Source organism: Homo sapiens, chromosome 1, assembly GCF_000001405.40.
Source record: "Homo sapiens chromosome 1, GRCh38.p14 Primary Assembly".
Classification (NCBI taxonomy): domain Eukaryota; kingdom Metazoa; phylum Chordata; class Mammalia; order Primates; family Hominidae; genus Homo; species Homo sapiens.
The window spans coordinates 46,646,783-46,667,606 of NC_000001.11; the positions used below are offsets into that span (position 1 = coordinate 46,646,783).

General features: G+C 39.7%; 1 protein-coding gene and 1 pseudogene across 5 annotated transcripts in view, besides 3 other annotated features; both read right to left on the minus strand.

Annotated features, from left to right (window-relative positions):
* The window catches only part of ATPAF1 (ATP synthase mitochondrial F1 complex assembly factor 1), a 35,821-nt gene that overhangs the window by 14,046 nt on the left and 951 nt on the right, over positions 1 to 20,824 (minus strand). For 3 of the 5 annotated variants that reach the window (NM_022745.6, NM_001394565.1, NM_001042546.2), the window contains exons 2-6: positions 18,474 to 18,582; positions 11,905 to 11,955; positions 11,345 to 11,407; positions 7,035 to 7,085; positions 5,799 to 5,846 (exon numbers count right to left, since the gene is read on the minus strand). In NM_022745.6, the coding sequence (NP_073582.3) occupies positions 5,799 to 5,846; positions 7,035 to 7,085; positions 11,345 to 11,407; positions 11,905 to 11,955; positions 18,474 to 18,582 (322 nt within the window). Of the gene's footprint in view, positions 1 to 5,798; positions 5,847 to 7,034; positions 7,086 to 11,344; positions 11,408 to 11,904; positions 11,956 to 17,050; positions 17,142 to 18,473; positions 18,583 to 18,864; positions 19,097 to 20,824 lie in introns of those variants that run through there. The other 2 variants (NM_001256418.1, NM_001243728.1) reach the window with 2 other exon arrangements.
* Positions 13,613 to 13,672: an enhancer, noted in NCBI's record as "active region_1006". NCBI's record gives its function as "activates an Ori minimal core promoter by ATAC-STARR-seq in GM12878 lymphoblastoid cells {active_cell/tissue: GM12878}" and the evidence as "EXISTENCE:reporter gene assay evidence [ECO:0000049][PMID:35858748]".
* Positions 19,028 to 19,557: an enhancer, noted in NCBI's record as "H3K4me1 hESC enhancer chr1:47131482-47132011 (GRCh37/hg19 assembly coordinates)". NCBI's record gives its function as "activates a minimal SCP1, AML or CMV promoter by ChIP-STARR-seq in naive H9 embryonic stem cells {active_cell/tissue: H9 hESC(naive)}" and the evidence as "EXISTENCE:reporter gene assay evidence [ECO:0000049][PMID:30033119]".
* Positions 19,128 to 19,593, minus strand: NENFP1 (neudesin neurotrophic factor pseudogene 1; annotated as a pseudogene).
* Positions 19,558 to 20,086: an enhancer, noted in NCBI's record as "H3K4me1 hESC enhancer chr1:47132012-47132540 (GRCh37/hg19 assembly coordinates)". NCBI's record gives its function as "activates a minimal SCP1, AML or CMV promoter by ChIP-STARR-seq in naive H9 embryonic stem cells {active_cell/tissue: H9 hESC(naive)}" and the evidence as "EXISTENCE:reporter gene assay evidence [ECO:0000049][PMID:30033119]".

Sequence of the window (20,824 nt, forward strand, 5' to 3'; positions counted from 1 at the left end):
CCAAAATCAACAAAATGAACATGGTTATCACTTCCAAGTTTTCTTTGCCCTTTGAAGTTCATACTTCCCTGTCCCTTACTGTCCCTAAGCAACCACTGATTTGCTTTCTGCCACTATAGGTTAGTGTGCCTTTGTAGAATTTTGTAAAAACGGAACCACAAAATGAGTACTTTTTTGGTTTGGTTACTTTCAGTCAGCATAACTGTTTCATGATCTATCCATGTGTAGGAACAAGAGTGACTTTATTTTAAATGCTAGTCCACCGTGTGACTTCTGACTAACCCCAAGTCCAGGAATGCCTCCCAAATGTCTAGTTGATGTATTACTCTTTATGTAGAAACATCTATTCTTCCAAAACAATCCTTGATGTTGTTGCAGAAATCATAGGCAGTGATGACTGTATCCACCTACACATTCCTTCCAGAGCATGTATACTTTCCCCAAGATATAAGACATATTGGGTCTGTCTGGTTGTGGTGTGGAGATCTACCTGTATTGCAGCCACCCAATACGACATTCCCGTCTGTAAGTTCCCCCAATAAATCATCCCATACCCACAAATTGGATTTGTCTGCCTCCTTCTTTGGTTTTTCAGCTCCTTCACCATTTGGGGGTCGTTTTGCACATATGGCCCTTTCACAGAACACCATGTTGTTGCATGTATCAATAGTTCATTCCTTTTACTGCTGAATATTATTCCATTGTGTATGTATACACACATACACACACACACACACACACATGCACATTCTCTCTTTCCACAATTCCTGTGCACTAGTGACAGACATTTGCATTGTTTCCAGCATTGGTTGTTACAAATAAAGCTGCTTGAATATTTGCGCACAAGTCATTCTATGGACATATTCTTTGAGTTCTCTTGGGAAAATATCTAGAAATGGAATGGCTAGTTAGTATGGCAGGTATATGCTTAATTTTTAAAGAAACAGCCGAACTATTTTCTAAAGTGGTTGTACCATTTTGCAATATGACCGGCAGTATAGGAGAGTTCCAGGTGCTTCACATTCTTACCAATACTTGGTATGATCAGTTTTTGACATTTTAGTCATTCTAATGGTATCTCACTGTAGTAATTTGGATTCCCATTATGACTAATGCTGTCAAGCATATTTTCAGGTGCTTATCTGCTATTCTTTGATAAAATGTTCAAATCCTTTGTCCATTTGTCTATCCTCTTTATTATTGAGTTATAAGAATTTCTGATATAACTTGAGCTATACACCTTTTGGCTATTGTGACTAATGTTGCTATGAATGTAGAAGCTATTTGGGTATGCAAATAGAATGTTTTAATTTTGATGAAATCTAATTTATTTATTATTATTTTTTTGAGACAGAATCTCACTCTGTCAGCTAGTCTGGAGTGCTGTGGTGTGACCTCGGCTCACTGCAGTCCCTGCCTCCCAGGTTCAAGCGATTCTCATGCCTCAGCTTCCGGAGTAGCTGAGATTACAGGCACACACCACCACGCCTAGCTAATTTTTGTATTTTTAGTAGAGATGGGTTTTCGCCATATTGGCCAGGCTGGTCTTGAACTTCGGACCTCAAGTGATCCACCCACCTTGGCCTCCCAAAGTGCTGGGGTTACATGCGTGAGCCACCACACCCACCCTATTTTTATTGTTTTGAGACAGGGTCTCGCTCTGTTGTCCGGTCTGGGCTCACTATAACCTCCACCTCCAGGGCTCAAGTGATCCTCCCACCTCAGCCTCTTGAGTAGCTGGGACAACAGGTGCTTGAAAAATTTTTTTTATAGAGACAAGGTCTCACTATATTGCCCAAGGTGATTTTTTTCTTTTATAGTTTGTGCTTTTTGTAATGTACTTATGACATCTTTGCCAAACCCAAGGTAATTTAGATTTCTTCTTTTATTTTCCTTTACAAGTTACATTTATGGGCCAGGTGCGGTGGCTCATGCCTGTAATCTTAGCACTTTGGGAGGCTGAGGCAAGTGGATCACTTGAGGTCAGGAGTTTTGAGACTAGACTGGCTAACATGGTGAAACCCTGTCTCTACTAAAAACATAAAAATTAGCTGGGTGTGGTGGTGGGCTCATGTAACTTCAGCTACTCACGAGGCTGAGGCTCAAGAATCGCTTGAACCTGGGAGGCAGAGATTGCAGTGAGCAGAGATCATGCCACTGCACTACAGCCTGGGCAACAGTACAAGACTCTGACTCAAAAAAAAAATGGTCTCTGCTAAAAATACAAAAATTAGCCCAGTGTGGTGGCAGGCACCTGTAATCCCAGCTACTTGGGAGGCTGAGGCAGGAGAATAGCTTAAACCCAGGAGGTGGAGGTTGCAGTGAGCTGAGATCATACTACATTGCACCCTGGGTGACAAAGCAAGCTCCGTCTCAAAAAAAAAAAAAAAAAAAAGTTACATTTACTTTTATGATCTACTTTAATTTTTGTATACACTGTGAGGTAAAAGTAGAGGTTCCTTTTTTTTGTGCATGATATTCAATTGTTTTAGCAGCATTTGTTGAAAAGATTATCCTTTCTCTAATTTATAGACACCTTTGTTGAAAAACAACTAACCACATATATGTTTGTCTATTTCAGGACTCTACTCTGTTCCATTAATCTACATGTCTATCTTTGTGCCAATACCATACTGTTTTAATTACTGTATCTTTGTAATAAGTCTTGAAATCAGGAAATGTAAGTCCTCAAGCTTTGTTCTTTTTCAAAATTGTTTTAGCTATCTCAGTCCTTTAAATATCCAAGTAAAATTTTAAAACCAGCTCATCAATTTCTTAAATGCCTAGTGGGGTTTTGATTAGTATTGTATTTCATCTAGAGACCAATTAGGAGAGAACTGATACCTTAACAATAACAAAGCCTAGGCACAGTGGCTCACACCTGTAATCCCAGCACTTTGGGAGGCTGAGGCAGGAGGATTGCTTGAACCAAGGAATTTGAGACCAGCCTGGGCAACGTAAGTGAGATCTTGTCTCTACTAAACATACAAAAAATTAGCTGAGCATGGGGGTGCATGTTTGTAATCCCAGCTACTTAGAAGGCTGAGGTGGGGGTATTGCTTCAGCTGAAGAGATTGAGGCTGCAGTAAGCTATGATCACACCACTGCACTCCAGCCTGGGCAACACTGTAAGATCCTGTCTCAAAAAACAAAACAAAACAAAATGTAACAAACTGAGCCATCCAATCCATGAACATGGTATATATCATTTCCATTTATTTAGGTATTCTCTGTTTTCAGCAATGTTTCCAAAAATGTTTTGAAAACCCGAGAAATCATTACTGATACCAAGTTAGCTGGTCCACCCCACCTATTCCTTTTCCCTTAGGCCTTCTGGCAGCTCAGTATTTCAGCTACGACCTCTTAATTCCTTTAGGCACATATTACCAGGATAGCATAGCCAAAACTGTGAAGAAAACTGCCAATAAAACAGGCATCTCAGCCCAGTTTGAACAGCTATTACGAAAAAAAAAAAGACAACCTGTAATCCCAGCACTTCGGGAGTCTGAGGTGGGAGGGTCATTTGAGGCCAGGATTTGAAGCCCATCCTGGGCAACACAGTAAGACCTCATCTCTAAATGAAAAAAAAAAAAATGCTGGTGAAGATGTGGAGAAAGAGGAACTTTTGTATAATATTGGTGGAACGTAAATTAGTATAGCCATTATGGAAAACATTATGAAGTTTCCTCAAAAAACTAAAAAGAGAACTACCACATGATCCAGCAGTCCCACTACTGGATATATATCCAAAGGAAAGGAAATTAGTATGTTGAAGAGATATCTGCACTCCCATGTTTGCTACAGCACTATTCACAATAGCGAAGATATGGAATCAACCTAAGTGTCCATCAACAAATGAATGGATAAAGAAAATGTGGTATCTATACACAATGGAATACTATTTAGCCACAAAAAAGAACAAGTTCTGTCATTTGTGACAACATGGATGAGCTTGGAGAACATTATGTTAAGTGAAATAAGCCACGCACAGAGAGACAAATACCACATGTTCTCACATGTTGGAAGCTAAAAAAAAAAAAAAACCTGATCTCATAGAAGGAGAGAGTAGGAGAGTGGTTACTAGAGGAACGAATAGCCAAAGTTTGGTTAAGGGATACAAAAGTACAGCTAGATGGGAGAAATATGTTCTAGTGTTCTACGGCACTATGGAGTACTATAATTAACAATAATTTATTGTATATTTTCTTTTTATTTATTTATTTATTATTATTATACTTTAAGTTTTAGGGTACATGTGCACAATGTGCAGGTTAGTTACATATGTATACATGTGCCATGCTAGTGCGCTGCACCCACTAACTCGTCATCTAGCATTAGGTATATCTCCCAGTGCTATCCCTCCCCACTCCCCCCACCCCACAACAGTCCCCAGAGTGTGATGTTCTCCTTCCTGTGTCCATGTGTTCTCATTGTTCGATTCCCACCTATGAGTGAGAACATGCGGTGTTTGGTTTTTTGTTCTTGCCATAGTTTACTGAGAATGATGATTTCCAATTTCATCCATGTCCCTACAAAGGACATGAACTCATCATTTTTTATGGCTGCATAGTATTCCATGGTGTATATGTGCCACATTTTCTTAATCCAGTCTATCATTGTTGGACATTTGGGTTGGTTCCAAGTCTTTGCTATTGTGAATAAAGCTGCAATAAGCATACGTGTGCATGTGTCTTTATAGCAGCATGATTTATAGTCCTTTGGGTATACACCCAGTAATGGGATGGCTGGGTCAAATGGTATTTCTAGTTCTAGATCCCTGAGGAATCGCCACACTGACTTCCACAATGGTTGAACTAGTTTACAGTCCCACCAACAGTGTAAAAGTGTTCCTATTTCTCCACATCCTCTCCAGCACCTGTTGTTTCCTGACTTTTTAATGATTGCCATTAAACTAAAGAGCTTCTGCACAGCAAAAGAAACTACCATCAGAGTGAACAGGCAACCTACAAAATGGGAGAAAATTTTTGCAACCTACTCATCTGACAAAGGGCTAATATCCAGAATCTACAATGAACTCAAACAAATTTACAAGAAAAAAACAAACAACCCCATCAAAAAGTGGGCAAAGGAAATGAACAGACACTTCTCAAAAGAAGACATTTATGCAGCCAAAAAACACAAGAAAAAATGCTCACCATCACTGGCCATCAGAGAAATGCAAATCAAAACCACAATGAGATACCATCTCACACCAGTTAGAATGGCAATTATTGTATATTTTCAAGTAGCTAGAAGAATGGATTCTGAATGTTACCAATACAATGAAATGATAAATGTTTGAGGTGATAGATGTGCTAATTATTCTGATTTGATCATTACACACTGCACACATGTATTGAACTATCACACTGTACCCCATAAATATGTATAATTATGTGTCAATTAAAAATAATAATAAAAGCAAAAAAAAAAAAAAAAAGAAGTTGAAAAGATTAAGGTCTCAGATGTCTTCCAAAACGCACTTGTACCGATAGATTAAGATCTACATCAGAAAGGGCTGATGTGGTAGGGAGCTAAAAAGCCAGAGGCTTACTGGGTCAAACCCACATGATTTCATAAGGCTGAAAATGTCACTTATTAGTACAATCAACGTGTGAGCATCTTTATTAAGTAAACAGAGCACTATAACTTATTAGTACAATCAACATGTGAGCATCTTTATTAAGTAAACAGAGCACTATAACATGTGAGACAGTATGGAATATGACGTGATGGGCTGGAAAATACTTGTTTGGCAACATTGATAAGCAACCCTTACGTGATCACCAGAAACTTACTGTTGGACAGGACTGAGCCCGGTTCCAGATCAAATCAAACTTTTCTGCCTGTAGGTTGGAAAAGAATAAAGTTAACCTACACATAGTAAAACACAAAAGGCCACTATCACATGTAATTCACCAAGACTGAATTCTAGAATTATAATACAACTAAAACAGTCATTTAAGTTTCATCATTTTCAAATCACTCTTATGACAGAAAGACAGGAAAAACCAGATGTCTGTTTTGCTGTTTATTGTCAGAATTATGTGTAAAGACTAGGTGCACCAATGCTCCAGGGAACTTTAACAATTGTCAGAGACATCAAGTCACCAAGTCAGTTTGAGGGAGAGGTAAGAAGGCCTGTTTAAACAATGAGTCAGTATCAGAGATCTAAAACATCACAAAAAGCGCAGACTCTTCTTCTGGCTGTTGAATTCATGTAGGATAAGGGTATATATATATGAGAGATTAAAAAAAAAGATAGCGATACCATCATAACCACCAAAAGGCCTGGCTTTATCCTTCCATCTATATGTTTTCCTCCTTAATCTTACACTTACTCATGTAATCTCAATATATATTTGTGTGCTTGATAGAAACTTAACCTAAGCTCCCACCCCTCCTTCAGGGAAAAACAAAGAACTAGCTGATAATCCAGTACTTCAGATGCTTTATTATAGTGAAGGCCAGCAAAACATTAAACCAGAGAAGCCAGCAGCATCCCTTCTCTGTCACAGACCTTAATGGTCAAGCAGTAGATGGTGACCATCTCTAAGAATAATTTCAAGAAGGGAAAGACCAAGAAAATGCCACTTGCTAAGGGGAATATTCACCAGAGATAGACTAGGAAGAGGCTCCAAGTCAGCTCAGGTATAGGTCACTTACAGGCAAGAAGGGAAAAAAGCTGTGCTAGAGGCCCTGTCTTAAATTCCAACAGCTTGGTTGGAAAACATCAGTAAGAAAAAAAAGACATCTGGAAATTACTCAGCAACATGAACTTATACCACGCTCCCTTGTCAGAGACTTGACTCAGAGACATTTCTAAAGTAGAAAGGAGGAAAACAAGAGCCATAAATATACCATATGGAGCTTCCAATCTCTGGTGCTCAGGGCATAATAAAAACTCTCAGGGCTGTAAAATGCAGCTTCTCAAGAGGCAATAAACATAGGAAAAGTAAAGGCAACTGCCTGCTAAGGTTAGAGAACTGACTTTCATGTTGTAACACTTTCACTTTGCCCTCCAAACTACTTACAGGAATAACTGCGTAGACTGTATCTTTTGCTGCAAAATATTGCTGCCAAATCTGTACAAAAAAGAGAGGGGTGTCTGTGACATGTGGGTAATCTTTTCAACATGTGCCAAGAAATGGTGACAGTTTTCATTGCTCAGAGGAATATGCTATTTGATAACAGAGAGGAAAAACCCAGTATAACGCTTTCATTACTAGCACATCACAAAAAAGATTTAATACAATCCACTCTTCTAGATGATTAAACTGTAACTCTTAATAACAAATTCCTGACAGAGAAACTGATTCTCTGACTTTAAAAGTCATTCCTCTTAATATGTGCCTTGTGTGTGATAGACAACTTCTTTTTTTTCACATTTTTATTTCCTCCCCAAACCCACACCTCCCCAGCCAACTGAGCCTTCCCAGAGAGTCAGGACTAGAGCTCAGGGTTCACAGTCAGGCAGACCTGGATGCGAATCTCAGCTCCAGTCATTTACTAGCTATACTACCTTGGGCAAATTACTGAAAACTCCCTAAAAAACATCAATAAAATAGCAATAATAACCTCACAGAATTGTCATGACTAGCTGAAATAATGTAGGTCTGTGCTTAGCTCAGCACTTGTCACAGAATAAACACTACAAATAATGTTAGCTTTTGTTAGATATTGTATTAGTCCATTCTCACACTGCTAATAAAGATATACCTGAGACTGGGCAATTTATTTATTTATTTATTATTATTATTATTATTATTATTATTATTGTACTTTAAGTTCTAGGGTACATGTGTACAACATGCAGGTTACATAGGTATACGTGTGCCATGTTGGTTTGCTGCACCCATCAACTTGTCATTTACTTTAAGTATTTCTCCTAATGATATCCCTCCCCCAGCCCTCCACCCCCTGACAGGCCCCAGTGTGTGGTGTTCCCCACTCTGTGTCCATGTGTTCTCATTGTTCAACTCTCACTTATGAGTGAGAACATGCGGTGTTTGGTTTTCTGTCCTTGTGATAGTTTGCTGAGAATGATGGTTTCCAGCTTCATCCATGTCCCTGCAAAGGACATGAACTCATGCTTTTTTATGGCTGCATAGTATTCCATGGTGTAAATGTGCCATATTTTCTTAATCCAGAGACTGGGTAATTTATAATGGAAAGAGGTTTAAGTGACTCACAGTTCCACAGGGCTGGGAAGGCGTTAAGAATCTTACAATCATGGTGGAAGGGGAAGCAAACACATCCTTCTTCACATGGTGACAGGAAGAAGAATGAGCAAAAGGGGGAAAAGCCCCCTATAAAACCATCAGATCTCGTGAGAACTCATTATCATGGGAACAGCATGGAGGTAACTGCCCCTATGATTCAATTACCTCCCATTGTGTCCCTCCCATGATGTGTGGGGATTATGGGAACTACAATTCAAGATGAGATTTGGGTGGGGACACAGCAAAACCATATTAGATATTATTGGCATGTTATAGGCAGCTCTTAAAATCCTGCTTCCAGAAAGTCTTCTACATGTGGAAGAGATAAGGTCTGTTGGATCTGACTATGGTATATACCAATCAGAAGTCCTACCTCTGCTTGACACTAACGAACAAGGAAGCTACAGTTGACCTTCATGATGCAAATACCAAAAGGTGGGGAATAAAAAAATTATATAATAAAATTTGAAAATTAGAAAACAGGGAAAAGGAAAAAATGCCCATAGTCCTACCACCCTAACAAAGACCACTGTTACTTTATTTCTTTCTAGCATGTCTTTTATAGTATACATAGATGTAGCATATATGCAATATTGTGTCTTTTCATTATTTACCATTAATATCATATGGATGCTCTGTGTTCTTATTTTTTACTACCTTTTTTTTGCCTTCCCATGCCTTTTTACATGTTATTGGCTCTGACTAGAAAGCCTCTCTCTCCTACCTCTGACCTCCCAAATTCTTCCTGTACTCTGAAGCTGAGCCTATATGCTTCTTCTTCCATGCAGTTTCCCTTGATATTACAGTCAGAAGTTTTCCTATGAGCTGCTTTTCTATTTTATTTATTTCCTCCCCCTTGCTTTCATATTTTATATCTCTCTTAAGATGCCTAGGATATGCTACTTCATAATAAGATCATTTGCATATGGATCTATTTCCCTCACTAGTTTGCAAGCCCCCTGTAGGCAGGTATCTGCTGTGTTGTCACCAATGCCTTGCAACCCAAAAAGTACTCAGAAATGCTGGTTGAATGATAGATGATTGTGAAATAATAAGAAACATGTAATCTAAAAGAGGCACTTAACCCAGGGTAGGGAAGAGTGCCAGAGGAAGGGACACTTGGAACTGTATCCTGAAGAATGATTAGGAGTTAGAGTAGGGAAATAAGGAGGCTGGGAAGATAACAGGTAGGGCAGGAGAAGGAGATAAGAGACACATTTGAAGCAGAGAATGACAACACTAACAAAGGCATAGAAGTAGAGGAGGGTATCATAACCAAGGTGACACCAGAGTGAGCTAGTGTTGAAGAATGGGTCAACTTCCTTTAGAGTTGGTCTGTTTTGTCAACATTTCTGTTAAAATATGGGGCCCCAATTGAAGATACTAATCAAAGTGTGATCCATCTAATCAACACAGAGCACAAAAGGACTATTAACTCCTAGGACCTATGGAAACTACTCTCAATGTGGCATAAGGTTGCTTTACCTTTTCTTTTTTTGCATGTCAAAACATTGTCTTCTCATTTTAAGGACAGCATATTCTGATTATTTTTATTTAATTTATGATATTAGCAGACAGTTTATGAATCAAAACTGAAATTCATGAGACTGATATATGTTTCCTTATATAGTTGAATTTAGCTACTCATTTCAACAAACACAAATTTATACCTAAAACTATAGGTCTCAATGATACTTGTCATATGATCAGGCCTCCTGGGCCTGGCTTCTTTTTCCCCTAAATGACATGTTTTGTGTCCATGTTCCTTTGGTACTTCTTCCCAAAGGCACAGCCAGAGTTCTCCCTGACACTTTGCATATGCCTCTATTAATAGAAAGAACCCTGTGCTGATCTGATCCGTTTTGCGGAGGCTAAAACTCCTTGGGGATGAGGATTCTCTCATTTATCTCTGTATCTGGCACAGAGTCTGACATTTAATTGGTATGCATTAAATGTGTGCTAAAATAAATGATACAGCATACAAAGGAAACCCATGGCAACTGGCACAACTTCCAGTTGTGGGAATATGATGCAGAGTCAAATAGACATGGGTTTGAGTCCCAGCTCTACCACTGACTAAGTTACATAATCTCTTTAAGTCACAGTTTCCTCAACTGTAAACTGGGAATAATGGCACCCACTTCACGGGGTGGTTAAGAGAATTTAATGAAATAATGCATATGAAGCATTAGGCATTGTACCTGATACAGAGTATGCTGCTTTTATTATTATTTTGATCCTCTCAATCTACCTAATGTATAATTCATGGAACTATAAAGAATGCCAGAAAAATAGCTTATTAGAGAGAAAAGAATCACAGGTATAAAAATATAAATGACCAAACAGGCAGGATAGCTCATGAGTGCTTTGAAGGAAAGTGTTCAGGAAGCTTCCTGAAGAAGGTCCTGTGATAATGGAGAGCTATGAATGCCCAGAAAAGGAATACAGGAAGTCACTGAACATTTGTGACCAGGTTCCTAATACATTTTTTTCCCATTTTTTAAAAAACATAAATATAGCACTTACTCTATGCCAGGGACTGTTCTAAGTGATAATAAATGTTAACTCATTTAATTATCCAAATAACTCTATGAGGTAAGTGCTATTATTTGCTCCACTTTAAATAGGGAAACTAAAGCCCAGACAAGTTGATTAACTTGTCCAAGTCCTATAGATAGTGGCAGAGCTAGGACTTAAAACCGGCAGCTTGGTTCTAGAGTCTGTGTTTTTAAACCAATACACTATACTTCTCCATAATGAAAGGAGAAGTTTCAGAGGACTCAGTTGATGAGAATATTATGGGTGGAGTGGAAAAAAAAGGAGAAGGGAAACCTATTTGGAAAGGTAGTGCAGTAATCCAGGTACAGAGTACTGATGAGGGTTACACGAGATGTGGATTATGGGAATGAAAAAGAAACTAGACATACAAGTTGATTAGACATATAAGAGTGACAAAGAAGACAAGTTTTCTTATGACATTGTTCTTCAAGTAATTCATCACTTTTGCCTTTTATTATTACCTTTCATTGTGGCTAGAAAGAGGTGTCAGAAAATGTACTTTCAGATTTGGTTCACAGAATTCACATTTTCATAGAGTAGGCCAGCCCATTTCCATTCATTACCTGTTTTATTTCTTCTGCAGTTTTTTCTTTTACCATCTCAATGTTAAAGATTGAACTGAGAGTCTTGAAAGAGACAATAAAAAGCAATTAACACATAATTAAAAAAAAAAAAAAACAGCTTAACTCTATCTCTAAGCCTGTGGCAAACATGTCAGGACAATGAAACAGATTTCCAAAAGTAGAAAACAAGTATAAGAAAACCCACATGCTCAGAGAAAGTGAGCCCCCAAGCCTAGACAGGTTTTCATAGTTCTGTTCCTGAGGAGTCTCTCTTAGGTTGCCATGTACTTCCCAAAGGCTTCACCCTTACCAATGAGTCCTGCGGCACTTTGCAGCTGGTAAGAGGAGAAAGTTTGGTTGTTATTTTTAATTAAACTGCTATGCTAGGGGTCATGGTCAAGGACACAAAGTTCATAGAAATATTTCTCACTTCTACAGCTGGAAAATCACCTTACACAAAATCACTGAGCCACAGTACTTATGTTCAAATTTGCAGCCTCTTGTTCTAGATGTCCCATATGACTTCAAGCTTTTTTTCCTATATTTAATTAGAAACCTACCTTGTCCTTAGTGAATCCTCTGTTCACAGACTGTTTCCCCAAGGCATCTGTCTGAAATATATAAGACAAGATATTAATCTACACTTTACTCATAAGAAAAAAGGTAACTAAGCTAGGTGAAGTACCCAATCTCATTAAATAATTTTGCATGTGAGAACTCACTTCTCTCCACTTTTTATAATAATTGTTCTAAAATTTTAACACTATTTTAAAAATTATTGTTGGCTGGGCGCAGTGGCTCACACCTGTAATCCCAGCACTTTGGGAAGCCGAGGCGAGAGAATCATAAGGTCAGGAGTTCGAGACCAGCCTGGCCAACATGGTGAAACCCCGTCTCTACTAAAAATACAAAAAATTAGCTGGGCATAGTGGCGGGTGCCTGTGATCCCAGATACTTGGGAGGCTGAGGCAGGAGAACCGCTTGAACCCAGGAGGCGGAGGATGCAGTGAGCCGAGATCACGCCACTGCACTCTAGCCCGGGCAACAGAGTGAGACTCTGTCTCATAAAATAAAATAAATAAATAAAAAGAAATAAAAATAAAAATTATTGTTTATAAGAAAACAACTTTCTTCTAAGATTCTGAGATTCAGAGATAAGATTTCTCTCTCAGTAAACTATCATCTACTAGTACTGAGAGTCCATTCTCCACCTGCCACTGTGGATATGAGGGATTTCTTCCCAGAATTAGGCCTGCTTGGGATTACTGTGCTCTGTCCTGACCTATTCCACACTGAGCCATGGGAGAGGTAAGAAATGGAAAGATGTGTTATCCAAGGATACTGCTTATCTCTGACAACACTTTGATGGTAGGCATCCTCAGCAGACTAGAGTCATTTTGAGTGTTCAATCTTAATGTTTCCTCTATCAAATTAGACACCCTTAAAAAAAGGCCACCAACAACTGAAAGTGATTATTTTGTCTCGTAGCCATTATCTCTCATAAAGGTCATAGCTAGTAAATCCTGTTTTGAGTAGTTTCTGGTAGTAGGGATGGGTTGTTCTGAGTCTTCCACTCAAGGCTGTGCTTCTCAGAAGTACATTCGACACCTGGGATTCTGAGGCTGAAAAACACTTTCTGCATAAAACCTTGCCTTTAGTCACTTTGTGCTTTAATTAATCCACACTTTTCATAAATGATGGTCATAGAACCTGTACCCACAAATTAGAGAAAAGCCTGTTGAACACCCTTTAGTCTTTTTGGTCACGCACCTATACACTGACAACATCCCAGTGTAGCCGTTCCTTCATATGTAAACCATCTAAAAAGGAGTTAATTTCATTTTCTTTCTTTCTTTTTTTTTTTTTTTGAGACAGGGTCTAGCTCTGTTGCCTAGGCTGGAGTGCAGTGGCACAATGTCGGCTCACTGCAACCTCTGCCTCCCAGGTTCAAGTGATTCTCCCACCTCAGTCTCCCGAGTAGCTGGGTCTACAGGCTTGTGCCACCATGCCTGGCTAATTTTTTGTATTTTTAGTAGAGATGGGGTTTCACCATGTTGGCCAGGCTGGTCTTGACTTCTGGCCTCAAGTGATCTGCCCGCTTCGGCCTCCCAAAGTGTTGGGATTACAGGCATGAGCCACTGTGCCTGATGAGAATTTCATTTTCATACCACTCATTCTCAGGTGTACCATGAAAACGAAACAAAAACAAAACAAAACCTCCACTTGCACAGCTGCTTTCACCTTTCAGTCATGAAGCCTCATGTATCGGTTTTTACACAATGTCTCTCCAATCTATTATTTGTATCCATTTTCACTTATAGAAATAAAAAATTTAAGCCCTAAGTATAAGCGTATTGCATTTTATCAAATCTAAGACATCATATCTTAAGATGCACCATTATTTTATGCATCAGAAAATGATGCCAATTAAATAGCACAATATTTTCCTGTCATATCAATTATAAGACAATTTTAGTGATGTTAAAATGAGAAAAATAAGAGTGAGCTTTAGATTTGATGAAATAAGGTAATTAAAGCAGTTGAAACTACATGTCAAAAATCAGAAGCATTTAATAAGAACTTTAAATGGGTATTTTACTTCCCTACTATGGATGCTTTGGAAATCTGTGCAGATAATTTTATGGTTATCATAATAGTTTATTGGATATTGATATCTACATTATGGGAGGGGTGTCAAATGGGTGAGTTCTACATAATAAAAAAAATTTCCCTCATCCTGTACAACTTTTCAATGTCTAGCTAGACATTCTTGCAGCTGAAAATACCTATAATATTTCAATATTTATAATTACTTGGGCCTAGAACCTTTTTTTTTTAAACACTGCTTTAATACTAAAATTTCCAGAAATGCAACTACTATATAACTTGAAAGATTCCACATTGTGGAATCATAGGTCACTGATAACAACACTGCTCATGGTTTTGGAGGTTTTTTTTTTTTTGGAGACAGAGTCTCACTCTGTCGCCCACGCTGGAGTGCAGTGGCACAATCTCCGCTCACTGCAACCTCCGCCTCCCGGGTTCAAGCAATTCTCCTGCCTCAGCCTCCTGAGTAGCTGGGATTACAGGCATGCGCCACCATGCCTGGCTAATTTTTCTTTTGCATTTTAGTAGAGACGGGGTTTCACCGTGTTGCCCAGGCTGGTCTCGAACTCCTGACCTCAAGTGATCTGCCACCTTGGCCTCCCAAAGTACTAGGATTACATGTGTGAGCCACTGCACCCGGTGGTTTTAGAGTTTTTATAATTATCAACATAACACCCATTTGCCAGTCAGTATTTGCTGCTTACATGTTCAAGGTTATTTCAGAAATGGGTGGAAGCACCTCATGACTACATTAGGTCTCACAGTGTAGTCGTGCCCTAATATTTACATGCTAAAATATGTATTTTGTTAAAAAATACTTTTCTTTATATTATGGTTAGGGCATTATATTGATTTTCCCACCTGAGGTTATACATACAGGTAGGTTATATTTTTACATACCTATTGTTTTATTTCAGGGTAGAAAAGGGAGAATTTTTAAAAAATGTATTATAAAAGGGGGATGTTGAGTCCCATGTGGTGGGGAACCAATAACTCAAAGTAGTAAAGACAAGACTGTGGGAATGGAAAATATGTGTTAGCCGTTAGCCTTCCTCTATCTAGCTAGATACAGAAGATAGCAAGTGAATATTTACCTAAGAGCTGCCACAATTTAAATTAAATCTTTACATATTCTACATTTTATCATAAAGCTAAATTTCTTTCTTTTTTTTTTTTTTTAAGATGGAGTCTCACTCTGTCGTCCAGGCTGGAGTGCAGTGGTGTGATCTCCGCTCACTGCAGGCTCCGCCTCCTGGCTCCACGCCATTCTCCTGCCTCAGCCTCCCGAGTAGCTGGGACTACAGGCGCCTGCCACAACGCCCGGCTAATTTTTTGTATTTTTAGTAGAGAAGGGGTTTCACCGTGTTAGCCAGGATGGTCTCAATCTCCTGACCTCGTGATCTGCCCGCCTTGGCCTCCCAAAGTGCTGGCATTACAGGCGTGAGCCACCACGCCCGGCCTCATAAAGCCAAATTTCTAAGTCTGTTTACCAAAAAGGGGCAAAGAACATTCCTATCTAATATTTAAAGTTTATAATATAGTAATATTTCCAAGAGCTATTGACTTGTAACCTTACTACTATAAGTGTTTATTATAGGAAATGACAATTGTTAAAATATTTGTAGTAAAGAATTGTTTGCTCACATAAAGTTGTAAACTCTATTTGTCATAGGAGTTGAATTTGCTCCCCAACCTTATTATAATTAACCCATCTGTTATTTTTTTTTTTTTTGCCCAGGCTGGAATGCAGTGCCATGACCTCAGCTCACTGTAACCTCCGCCTCCCAGGTTCAAGCGATTCTCCTGCCTCAGCCTCCCAAGTAGCTGGGATTACAGGCGCCTGCTACCACACCCAGCTAAGTTTTGTATTTTTAGTAGATACAGGGTTTCACCCTGTTGGCCAGGCTGGTCTCAAACTCCTGACCTTAAGTGATCTGCCCACCTCAACCTCCCAAAGTGCTGGGATTATAGGCGTGAGCCACTGCGCCTGGCAACCCATTTACTATTAATCCTGTTCTAATTAACTCAATTAGTCATTTTATTTTATTTTTTTCTATTTTTATTATACTTTAAGTTTTAGGGTACATGTACACAACGTGCAGGTTTGTTACATATCTATACATGTACCATGTTGGTGTGCTGCACCCATTAACTCGTCATTTAACATTAGGTATATCTCCTAATGCTATCCCTCCCCACTCCCCCGACCCCACAACAGGCCCCAGTGTGTGATGTTCCCCTTCCTGTGTCCATGTGTTCTCATTGTTCGATTCCCACCCATGAGTGAGAACATGCAGTGTTTGGTTTTTTGTCCTTGCGATAGTTTGCTGAGAACGATGGTTTCCAGCTTCATCCATGTCCCTACAAAGGACATGAACTCATCATTTTTTATGGCTGCATAGTATTCCATGGTGTATATGTGCCACATTTTCTTGATTCAGTCTATCATTGTTGGACATTTGGGTTGGTTCCAAGTCTTTGCTATTGTGAATAGTGCCGCAATAAACATACATGTGCATGTGTCTTTATAGCAGCATGATTTGTAATCCTTTGGGTATATACCCAGTAATGGGATGGCTGGGTCAAATGGTATTTCTAGTTCTAGATCCCTAAGGAATCGCCACACTGACTTCCACAATGTTTGAACTAGTTTACAGTCCCACCAACAGTGTAAAAGTGTTCCTATTTCTCCACATCCTCTCCAGCACCTGTTGTTTCCTGACTTTTTAATGATTGCCATTCTAACTGGTGTGAGATGGTATCTCATTGTGGTTTTGATTTGCATTTCTCCAATGGCCAGTGATGATGAGCATTTTTTCATGTGTCTTTTGGCTGCATAAATGTCTTCTTTTGAGAAGTGTCTGTTCGTATCCTTTGTCCACTTTTTGATGGGGTTTTTTTTTTCTTGTAAATTTGTTTGAGTTCACTGTAGATTCTGGATATTAGCCCTTTGTCAGATGAGTAGTAGTCATTAAGACTCAGCAGATTCACTTAAAATTCAGGATACCCAAGGCAAAAAAAGTATTTTCCAAGTAAAATAAACACCTCTAATTTGACTTTAAAACACAATGTAGAATCCCAATTTTCTACTGTAACTACCTTAATTCAGGCTTCTGCAGCCCACACCTGGATTACTCCATATTCTCCCTGGCGCTGGCCTCTCCTACACCAGTTTGTTCTGTGCACCATCCTAGGTTAGAATTTTTCAAATAATAGGTTGTGAAATACATTTAGTGGATTGTGATCAGAGTTTTTTAAAAGATGAAAGAGAATAAAAAGTAATAAGAATGGACTGCATGTTGTAAAAGTTAGCATTATTTTATACATTTTTTTTTCAGTTACAATCATATACCTACATGTGTACTGAATTGCAATGTAAAATATATTTCTTATTGTGGTCATGGTCAAAAAGTTTGAAAAACACTGCATTAGAATAATCTTCCCAGACACAGTTTTCAACATGCTTTTCCTCAGCTTTGATTCCTATTTAAGGATAATAATGGCTAATATATATTAAGTACTTATGCCAGAGACGGCGCTAAAGAGTTTTAAATGGTATTATCTCTTCAGCACAACTCTGTGAAGTAGGTACTGTTATTATTCCTGTTTTACAGATAAGCAAACTGAGGCATGGAGAAGTAACAATTTGCTCAGAGTCACCCAGCTAGTAAGTGGAAGGGTTAGGATTCAGTCCTTGGCATCTGGCCCCAGAGCCCATCCTCTTAGCAGCTAAATTATCCTGCCTGTACTCCTTAAGCCCAAAGAGTTTAATGCCTAACTTATTTCTTTAGCCTTAACACTTCCCTCTCCATTTTAACTGGGCATAGTACCTTGCTGTCTCCTGAAACCCCTTTTACTTTCAAAGCTCTTCCTCTGTTTAAGCTAATTCCTCAACATGGGAATGGATGGGGGTGGGTTGGCAGGGTTGGCTGGTTGTCAGGAAACTAAATCTAGTCTGCCAAATATTTTTGTAGATTAAGTTTTACTGGGACAGAACCATACCTATTCATTTACGTACGGTCTAGGCCTGCTTTTGCACTATGATGGCAGAGCTGAGTAGTCACAAAGAAGACCATACGGCCCACAATGCCTAAAATATTTAACATCTAGTTCTTTACAGAAAAAATTTGATGACCCCTGCTCTACATCAAAGTCCCATTCCTTCCTCTCTACTTAATTTAAATCCCCCACAACGTTCCTAGCCTAGGTCAGGTTCCATCTCCCATGGGAAATTTTCTCTGATACCTCTAGCCTACTACCATGTGTGCCTTGCCTTGACCACCAGACTGCTCCTCTTGGGAGCAGGAAGTACCCCTCTCATACTTCTATATCTCCACCATGACCACAGTACTTTGCCTAGAAAGAGCAGGATAAACATTTATGGATGGAAATGGAGTTGGGAGAGACTATGTTCAGTTCACCCAGCTGACCCATCAATAAACCAACTTTAAGGATAAGGGTGAGGGTAAGGAGGGTGAAGGAGTGCTGGTAAGCAAACACCACAAATGGGGGAAGGTCTTACCTTCTGTTCCACACATTTGATAAAATCACCTTGCCTGGAATGCCCCACTGGCTGCTTCCGAAATTCACTGCGTTTCTCCAGGCGGGACTCAAAAGCAGCTGGGTCTGACCTGATCAGAGGTAAACCAAAGGGTAAACCAACTGGGCCTTTTTGAATTCTAAAATAACAAAGCATCACTTTCCACCTCTACAGAGAAAGGACACTGCCATTCAGAGAGGTTGAAAAATTTGCCTTCAGTTAGTAAGAACTGGGCACAGGCCTAGAAATAAAGAAACTGGAAAAAGAAATCCTGTTATTCAACTGTTGTTAATCCTCAAGGGGCCTGTGTAACATTTTTCTTTTGCAGGCTGTTCCCTAGGTTTACACAGGGCTTAGTCTCTCAGGTACTTACATTCAGGGTACTTAGAATTTTGAGGTCATCTTGCTGGATCACCTCTTCAGACAAGAATCCTATAGCCTCCTTACTAGGTGTCAAGCTTTTACTTGAATACATCCAGTTCTTGAAAATATGTCCCCCCAACCAGGTTAAACATCTGCTTTATTCAGATCCTGGTGATTCAGAGGCTTTAGGTAGCCTATTTTGCAGAAGATTTAGCATCTGAGTATCTCCCTAACCTACCCTCCAAAGAAGCTGCTCTTGGAGATGAAACAACAGAACACATTGTTTATGTCAAAATGGGGTTGGTCTTCAGGTTTGAAGTCCAGGCTGGGGTGCTGTCCCTATTAAGAATTCTTCAGACTGTGTAGCTAACCATGGGATATTTGGTTTTGTACACTTTGGTGAAGATATCATCCAGGGATTCCAGCTCTTTGGCCATGAGACCCAGAGTTTCATGGGTGAGGTCTGGAGGACCCAGGGACATCTTGGCTATCCCTCTGGTGGACTTTCCTGGTCAATGCATTATAGGGGGCCCCTTCTTCCATAAAATTCCTTTCTGGAGGTGACATAAAACACCACTCCCTTCACTGTCATGTAGATGGGATGTTTTTCTTCTCTCTGTAGTGGGCCGGCTCCTCCTCAATAAAGAGCCTCACCAGGGGTTTCTGCTTAGTCGGGCATGGCACCTGCCTGGCCAGAGCTGCAAGCAGCCCTGGGGGCTGTACCAGGACCAGGGTCAACCCTGCTAGTGGCTACAGCTGCAACTGGGCCTGCCATAGTGAAGGGGTAGAGAGGGCAAGGGACAGCCTGGGCAGTGAAGCTGTTGCTGGGATCTGAGGATATAGAAATAAATAAGTCAGACTCCCTACCTCAAGGAGCTCACTATCCAGTGGGAGAGACAGGCATAAAAGTAAACAAATGAAAGTACAACAGGTATTATGATGAAAATTTGCTCAAACATCCCCAAATGGTTAAGGTGGTTTCATGCCTCTGTACCTTTGTTTATGTTGCTGCTCCCCTTACCTGGAACATCCCCTCCTCTCCATTCTTTTTCAAAGGAAGTTTGCTAACAGATAAAACTAGAGAGAGACTGGCAGGGACTAGGGTATGAGGAACTTGTGTGAAACATTAAGGAGTTTGGATGTTATTTAGAGGTCAGTGGGGGGATAACAGTATGTGTAAATGTTGATGGGAATGATCCAGTGGGGAAGGACGGTAAAACCAGTTATTTATTTGTTCATGAGTGGGTAAGAATAAATGGATGCTGATAAAGTATTCAAAGTACAAGTAGACAACTCTTCAGAGATGCTTGTGTGTAAAACAGATCAAATACAGATCAACGAGAGAAGCCTGGAGGGGAATGTACATCAAAGAAAGGCTTTTAAGATGACAAATACTTGAGACTATCTCAATGCTGCTGGAAGGAGAGCAAAAATACTCATTCATTTACTGCATAACTGTTTCAAATGGCAAGAAAGATCACTACAGTAGCAGTGAGAGGAACTGGGGTAAAGTAGTCCAGGAATGGAAGTAGGGAACTCTAGTTAGAGGATAATGGCAACAGCCCAGGTGACGATGATGGAGTAGATTAAGGCAGTGGAAGTAGAGATGAGACAGAACTCAAATTTACAGTACTAAGTCTTTGGTTTCCTTTCATAAGACAACTACCTTCTTACCCTGCTAAATTCTCTCCCAAGCCCCTTTAATTTTCACCTCTGATCTCCTTTAGCTCTTCCCACTTGAACTCTTCAGATGCTCCTATAGCCCCTCATATGCACCTTAAGCCCCTCTAAGCTCCAGATCCTTCCCTCTGGAAGCTAAGAGGTGGTGTTAGGGACCCTGGACTCAGAGTCAGACAAATCCCAAACAGCTGTGTGACCTTTGGCAAGTCTCTTACTCTCGCTGATCCTCAGTCTCCTTAAGAGGGTTCAATGGGTGATCCGACTGTGACACTATTAGTCTTTGATGCCCT